The 7,860-nt window shown below is 45.7% G+C and overlaps 1 protein-coding gene and 1 long non-coding RNA gene across 9 annotated transcripts in view; both read right to left on the bottom strand.

Annotated features, from left to right (window-relative positions):
- Positions 1–53: 53 nt before the first annotated feature.
- Positions 54–1,116, bottom strand: LOC105371490 (uncharacterized). Its single transcript, NR_188262.1, has 2 exons — positions 771–1,116; positions 54–585 (listed from the first exon to the last, which is right to left on the bottom strand). It is a non-coding gene; the product is annotated as an uncharacterized LOC105371490 (long non-coding RNA).
- PAFAH1B1 (platelet activating factor acetylhydrolase 1b regulatory subunit 1) overlaps positions 3,726–7,860 on the bottom strand; it is a 92,433-nt gene continuing 88,298 nt past the window's right edge. For all 8 annotated transcript variants that reach the window (XM_017024701.2, XM_011523901.3, NM_000430.4 and 5 more), the window contains one exon: positions 3,726–7,612. In XM_017024701.2, the coding sequence (XP_016880190.1) occupies positions 7,539–7,612 (74 nt within the window). In that variant the 3' untranslated portion in view covers positions 3,726–7,538. The remainder of the gene's footprint in view (positions 7,613–7,860) is intronic.

Here is a 7,860-nt window from a genome sequence, read left to right as displayed (position 1 = left end):
GAGGGCTGACAGGAATGTGACTGGGAGAGGAATAGATACAAACGAGGTCAAGTTCGAGGTCACGCTTACATTGTCACTTGAGTGGGAGGTAAGGGGGTGGAATCACAGGCACTCAGCTGGAATTCACCGAGCTGCCAGTCCGTCACCAGGTTCGCGGGAGTGTCGTGCAGGTGAATGTCACCTGTCACCAGGTGCAGAAGAAACTGTGAAGGCCAGGTGGGGAGGGGTGCTGGGCTGTGGGGCCAGGCCCTGTGCATGCTGGACCCGTGAGGTCACTGAACACCCCCCTGGCTGGCCACCTGCCCCTGTCTCTTCACTCGAGGTAGGAAGGAGGGTGGGCAGCACTGCCCAGAGGTGAGACACTGGGGGCAGGGAGGAGGGCCTCAAGTTCGCCACCCTCGGACAGGATTCAGAGAGCCAAGACCCAGGTGGACTTGAGCGGCAGAGCCTGTCTCTAGAGGGGAAGTTGAGCTCTCAGTAGCTGCTGACCGCTGCTCGCCATCTGTCTCCAAGAGCAGGCCCTCGGCCCCACCAGGAACATACGCCTTTTGGGATGCTTGGAGAGATCTGTACGTCTTGGAAATTCTGAAAAGAAAAAAATTCCATCCCTGAGTCTGTCAGTTTTCCTGAGCCAACCGGAGAAAAGGTGCTTCTGACCTGGCGGTTTTAGGTGACACCCGGGGACAGCCACCAGCGAGTGAGTGTCCTGCTACAGAACCTCTCAGACTTCCCAGCAGCCCCAGCCCAGCAGCAGCTTCCTTTGCTCTCACCGGTGTGTCCTGAACATTCTGTCCCCTCTCCTGAGTGTTTGTTGTTGAACGTGAGCCACATGTTCATGCACCTCTCAAAACAGGGCCTCCTGTGAAGCTGAGAACAGATCGGGGTTGGTTAGGGTTGTGCCTCCTTGTCACCTGAGAGGCCCCTATTTCCTGGCTGATCCTTTAAGCGTATTAGTGCCCTCAGACATCTTTTGACGACCCAAATGACAAGGGGCTGTTTTCATAAAGCAAATGGAGGCCCTAGGTGTGAAATCCACTCTTTCTCCTTCCCTTCTTTTAGGTGACAGGTTTCAACTTTTTAAAAAGTGGGCCAGGCGTGGTGGCTCACGCCTGTATTCCCAGCACTTTGGGAAGCCAAGGCTGGTGGATCATTTGAGGCCAGGAGTTCAAAACCAGCCTGGCCAACATGCTGAAACCCCATCTCTACTAAAATTACAAAAATTAGCCAGGTATGTGATGGCGGACACCTGTAATCCCAGCTACTCGGGAGGCTGAGGCAGGAGAATCACTTGAAGCCCAGGAGGCTGAGGTTGCAGTGAGCCGAAATCACGCCACTGCACTCCAGTCTGGGCAGCAAGAGTGAGACTGTCACACACACACACCCACATACACAAATTGGGGAAATTCCTATATATCCTGCAGCTGGAGAGTAAGGCATCCTGATGTGGCCCAAATTTTCCTCTCCCCTACCTCTAAGGTCTAAACTACCAAATCAATCAGGACCCCCCCCTCCCCACAGAGTGCAGGCCCAGCCATCCTCGAATGGCAGGTGAAATGCCCTCATTTGTGGGAGTAAGCCATTATTTTATTTTTGAGACAGAGTCAGTCAAGGTCAGGTGACCAAGTGGGAATGAAGATCATAGGACATCGTCACAAAGGGACAAACTCCACATGTTCAAAGTGAGGATAGGCCGGGCGCGGTGGCTCACACATGTAATCCCAGCACTTTGGGAGGCCGAGGCGGGCAGATCACAAGGTCAGGAGTTCAAGACCAGCCTGGCCAACATAGTGAAACCCTGTCTCTACTAAAAATACAAAAATTAGCCGGGCACGGTGGCACGCGCCTGTAATCCCAGCCACTTGGGAGGCTGAGGCAGAAGAATTGCTTGAACCTGGGAGGAAGAGATTGCAGTGAGCTGAGATCATCCCACTGCACTCAAGCCTGGATGACAGAGTGACACTCTGTCTCAAAAAATAAAAATAAATAAAAGGATGAAAGAGGAAAGATCGGGATCCAGACCTGAGCTGCGGGGCCAAGAGACCAGTGATGTGCCCAAGTTTCTTTGGTGAGAAGTTGAATCATTTAGCTCGGTGGTTCTCGAACCTGAGCCTGCCTCAGTCATTGGAAGGGCTTGTTATAATAGATTGTGAATCAAGCAAGCAAGCAGGCTGCACCGCTTCCACTCAGGGGTTCTGAGGCGTGAGCTCCCAGGTGCTGCTGCTCTGCTGAACCAGGGAACACACTTTGAGGATGCCTGTCCTAGAGCTTCTGGTGTATCAGCAGTTAAGAACCGTCTGCACACAAGTCAGGTTTCACCAGGCTAGGCAGGGACAGAGCTGCCACAGCCAGCTACCCTCCCCCTGCATCAAAGGCCATACACAGTCATGACTCCTGGAAGGAGGTTTGAGGCAGTTACAAGCCAGCGAGTTACTTGCCAGGTTTTGAACAGCTAACAGCATTTCTGGATAGTGATACTAACGCTAGAACTCTGCCCCTGGGGCCCTATCATCTGGATCTCAGCCTGGAAGAGTCTTGCAAGGAAATGGAAAAGCTGCAAAAGTGCAGGGAACTAACTTCAGGCCAATTTCTTTGTTTTTTCTTGCTTTTTTGAGCCAGGGTCTTGCTTCATTGCCCAGGCTGGAGTGCAGTGGTGCAATCCTGGCCCAGTGCAACCTCCGCCTCCCAGGTTCAAGTGTTTCTCCTGCCTCAGCCTCCCAAGTAGCTGGGACTACAGGCACCTGCTACCACGCCTGGCTAATTTTTTTTGTATTTTTAGTAGAGACGGGGTTTCACTGTATTGTCCAGGCTGGTGTCAAACTCCTGAGCTCAGGCAATCTGCCCGTCTCGGCCTCCCAAATTGCTGGGATTGCAGGCGTACCACTGCGCATGGCCCATTCCTTTTTTGCTCTGGGCCAAGCTCCTATTTTGGGGCAGGCTACTACTCCCAATAGGAGGCAGGAAAACAGCTGGGCTGTAAGAAAGGAACCAGCACATCACCAAACTGTCCTTTGTAGGGCACCTTGAATACACCACAGATACAGCCATGTGTAAAGTGCAGAGCTGGGGTTTCTGGGACAAAGATGAACACTCTTATTTTGTATGTTTCAACCAAAATCGAAAACAGTATTAAGGATTTACTTTTATGATTCCAAGACCACTGAGCAAGATTAGAGGCTAACAGAACAAAGGGGGTAGGGCCCCATCTTTTTTTTTTCCTTTTTGTGGAGAACGGGGTCTCGCTATATTGCCCAGGGAGGTCCCGAACTCCTGGGCTCAAGCTATCCTCCCGTCTCTGCCTCCCCAAGAGCTGGGATTACAGGCGTGAGCCACCGCGCCCGGCAGGGCCCCTTATCTCTAGACTCTGTCCCCAAGAGTCTAGTCTTGGGCCTGTAACCAGCCATCCTGGCTTTGGCTCTCTGGCCACAGCGATAGCCACAGTCAGAACGGGCTGCTGGGAGGGTTGGGGAGAGCGGGCCTGTGCCGCAGACGCATGCCATGGCAAGGCTCAGGCTGAGGCACTCCCTCCTCCACCCGGGGGAAGGGGGACAGCAAAGCCAGTTCGGGTGCTGCCCTGAAGGAAAGCAGCTCATGAGGCCTTACTGCCCTGACACCGATTCGTGTCACTCTTTGTGACTGGAGCTACACACAGCCCCACTTTCTATCAGCATTTCCCCTGTGCAAAGGAAGACAAAAAAAAAAAAAAAAAAAAAAAAAAAAATCACATCTAGTTTTATAGGCATTTAATAGTTTACCAGTTGGTACAATAAGATTTTTTAATATGCAGAAAACATGAATAAATTTTGTTTTACACAGTCTGAGAGCAACAAATCTTACTGTAAAACACGAGAGCAATATTATATACATTCCTTTACTGATTTTTTAAAATTGTGTCAATATCTTCAGTGAACTCTTAACAATCTGGGGAACTGTTTTCCTCAATTACCACTTCAGCAACGTTCATACGAAATCAAGGCTTGCCTTCATGTCAGTGTCAGGATCAACTTTAACTCGAAGAGTTTGTGTTTGTCTCTAACATCTTCAGAGTGAGCTTTAGGGATGCCTGAAGGATGGACAGTACAAGCAAGCAGCTACTTCCATGATACAGTGGGAAGATAAAAAGGCCCATTCAGTCCAGCCGTGACCTGTAAATCCAGCTTGCCCTCCCCCCACCCCACTGGAAAAAAAATCCAAAACCTTTTTCCACCAGTTTTTTACATGTCGCTTCTCTACCAGGAGATTCTTTGCGTCATCTAGATGAACACACTGGACTTATATACAGCTGGACATGAAAGTAACCAATTTAAGTGCCTTTTCCTTCAACAATTTTAACTTCAGTTGCTTAAGGATGATCGAGCCACCGATGTCAACAAAATATCCTTTACCTTTAAATAGTTTTTCTTTAATTAAGTTTAAAGAAAACCTATTTAACGAGTGATATTACCGGGAAAGTTCACACAGAAACAGAAAGAGGCGAACGGGAGAGCAGGGCACTGGCAGCGGGGAGGCGGGGCTTGGTAAATCTAAAGCCAAAGCTTCCAAAGACTACGGCGAACGCTCCCCAGCCCGGGACGACTTGCTAACACTAGTGATTTTGAGAGTAGTGCTCTGGGCACACCATTGGTCACACCACACACAGACGAACCAGGACGGTCTTAGTCTCCTAAAGTGCAAGATGCCGTGACAACAGGCAACTAGGCTCCACGCGGTGTCTAAACCAGTCTCCATGGCATGCACTCTCAAGAGCGCAGCTAGGATTTCTTGGGCACGTTACAGATATATATTTGGGTGGCACTGGAATGTCTGTTTTCACACACACACACAGTCAATAATCATCTGAGGATGCAATTCTACCAGCTCTTTATTTCTTAAGTGGCCAATTTGATTGAGAAAGTGACAAAGCAGCAGTGAACCTCTAAACCAATTAATAAAAGTCCTCTACTTACAATCCAAACCAGTAACCTCATCATTGTCCTTATCCCAGGCAAGGCACAGGGTTAGACAGCAGACAGAGAAAACAGAGAACACAGTCAGAAAGGGCATCAACAGGACAGTGTCAGACAGCAGTGCAGGAAATTTTGCAAATCTGATTCCAGGTTGTAGACGGACTGCTCTCCCCCACCCCTTCGTTATTAAACAGGGCTCATTACATGTGGACCCAGTTGTGGGCCATCCCTGAGATTCAATGTTCGCTGCTTCTCACATGGAGGATGTCTGGTAACTCAACTCAGCAGCAGGCTGTGGCAATCTCCCAAGTAAGGATAACTTTGTTTACAGAGTAATCGTTTCCTCCTCCTTTGTCAACGCAAGTCGCTGTGTGCTGCAGGGGAAGACACGCTTGCTTCCTCCTGCATCGGTACCATTCTCCTTTATTGTTCAATATCTATGAGTGATTTCTAGATGTTGTGGCTTACCCTTAAACAATTCATGCTAAAAATGAATTAAAATACAAGACATTTATACATGTACAAACAAATGTTAAGATGCACCATTTCTATGTATTTATATTTCTCAAAATAGGACAGAAAATAGCAGCAAACAAGAACAAAGATATTTTCCATAGTTTTTGTAGAAAAATCCAGTCAGAAGAGCTAAGGGAAAAAGACTTTTCAATGTAAGCAGGGTTGTGAGGCAATATTGTCCTGAAAATTCACCTACTGTATGTATTTAAGGAATTAGCTTAAGATGTAATTTTTGTCCTCAAAAATAGCCATTAGTTCTCAAAACTTTCCCTTCCAGAGACATCTCTCAGGAATCTAAAAACAAACAAGCAAACAAACAAAAAGACACAAGCTAGACATAAAGCTGCTTCTAGTTAATATACGGCCTAGTCTCTGTGTGTATCTACAGGACGCTAACTCTCACCCTTTGTCTTTTGCAGGAACCAATTTTCCATTAAATACTAAAGGGGACATTTAAAAAATCACATAGTACACAAATGAATAAAACGCAGTTCAGAATTTTATCTTTGTTAAACTGTCACTGTTATCTCATTGTTCTGTTAACTTTTCAAATAACTCTCTTGGAAACAAAAAAAACCTGTTGGTTAGCTAAGCAATGGAATTCTTTATTAATAACTGACAATGGAATAGTGCTCCAAAAGTCATGGCTAAAAATTCTCTTAAACCTACCTGTAACTTTGGGTCAAAATATACAACATATCCGGGTTGTGTAAAATGTCGAGCGGCTAAATTAGAGGGGGACATAACGGAAGTGATTTTCCTTCGGCTGGAAAAAAATCCCCAGAGTCAGACCTAGTTTTCAGAAGCATTAAGATCAAAAAGGGTTTGTTCTAAAGCATGGCATTCCACAGCAACATTTATTCTACTTGTCCGTTTTAGCACTTTTTCAAAAACCCAGGACTAAGGACATGGAGGTTGATGTGTATGATACACACATACAGACTTATCCACTTACAGATAGGCCCATATACTTACAAACATTTACATATAAACAAAAGGTGAAAACAGTACATTTTTATGCACGCTCCATTAAACCCTGTCATTTTTTTAAAACTTGTAAGTGAAACACAGTTTAAATCAATATCAGATTCATGTTGAAAAACAAACTGCTGTATTCCTCCCACTCCTTTCAAATGGGCACACAGAACCTTCTCAGTATTTCTGTCATTATGTAATGCACATTGCACATCCCTAAAAAACACCAAAAACGAATAGTGATTTGTACCATGACACACTCAATGGGGAGATTAAATTCTACTTGGAAGTCACATCACTACACAGTCTAATAGTATGGAGAATACAACTAGAAGTATGTCCAGTGTGGAAAATAGAAGCTTAGAGTATGACAGTATTTTTTGACCTGTTTACAAAGCATTAAGACCAAAATGAAATAAATGAGTTGCTATTAGCTGCTGAGATTTTTCTTGAGATTTACAGTCATTTTCTTACATAAATATACCACTAGCCTCTGCGTGATAGGCTGCCAAAACAAATATATCCTACTGATTTGGCAAATGTGTCATGACAAAAATTCCAATGTATAATCCCCATTCATTACATAGATGGTTCAGAAGATTCTGAATTGTAGCCTTATCATCTAAAATCCTTACAGAAGATTTATTAAGCACACTTAAGTGATGTTACATAGATACACATTTCAGAAAAAGCCCTAATAACCACCACTTTTCCCCAAATGAGGCCATCAAGTCAGGCACCAACAGATAGCAGAAAGAAAAACAGGAATTAATAATCCAACATAAAATGACACTGTCAACTATTCAGTTTAGTGCCCTAGTTCAATTGATTCAACTTCTGCCTTCTTAGGCCTGGTGTGACCAATGCCAGCCCAGGTTTTTAAACCCTATGGTACTTCTAGACAACGTATGTAAATTTACAGTATACAATTTGGATTCACCATGCATGAATACTTTGTGTGTAACATTTAATAAGCTCAATCTACATCCAGAATAATTTACATGAAAGGACAATATTTATTTAAACAGAGCTCAATGGGGTAACCATGGTATCATCAGAGTGCATCCAGAGGAAAAGAGGGAGGAGGGGCCGAAGGAGACACAATCAACGGCACTCCCACACTTTTACTGTTTGATCTACGCTGCCAGTGACGACATAGGGTGCCGTCTTGTGGAAATCTGAAAGAAAAAGAAATGGTTTATTTAAAACTCACACGTAAGCCTGGACAACAAACATAGTGAGACCCCCTCTCTACAAAATACAAAATTAAAAAAAAAATTAGCCGGGCATGGTAGTGTGTGCCTGTAGTCCCAGCTACTCGGGAGACTGATGCAGAACTGTTTGAGCTGGGAAGTCGAGGCTGCAGCGAGCCATGACTGCACCACTGCACTCCAGCCTGGGTGACAGAGCAAGACCCTGCCCGGTC

This window comes from Homo sapiens, chromosome 17 (assembly GCF_000001405.40).
Source record: "Homo sapiens chromosome 17, GRCh38.p14 Primary Assembly".
In the NCBI taxonomy this organism is placed as follows: domain Eukaryota; kingdom Metazoa; phylum Chordata; class Mammalia; order Primates; family Hominidae; genus Homo; species Homo sapiens.
This window is presented reverse-complemented; position numbering and strand designations above follow the sequence as displayed.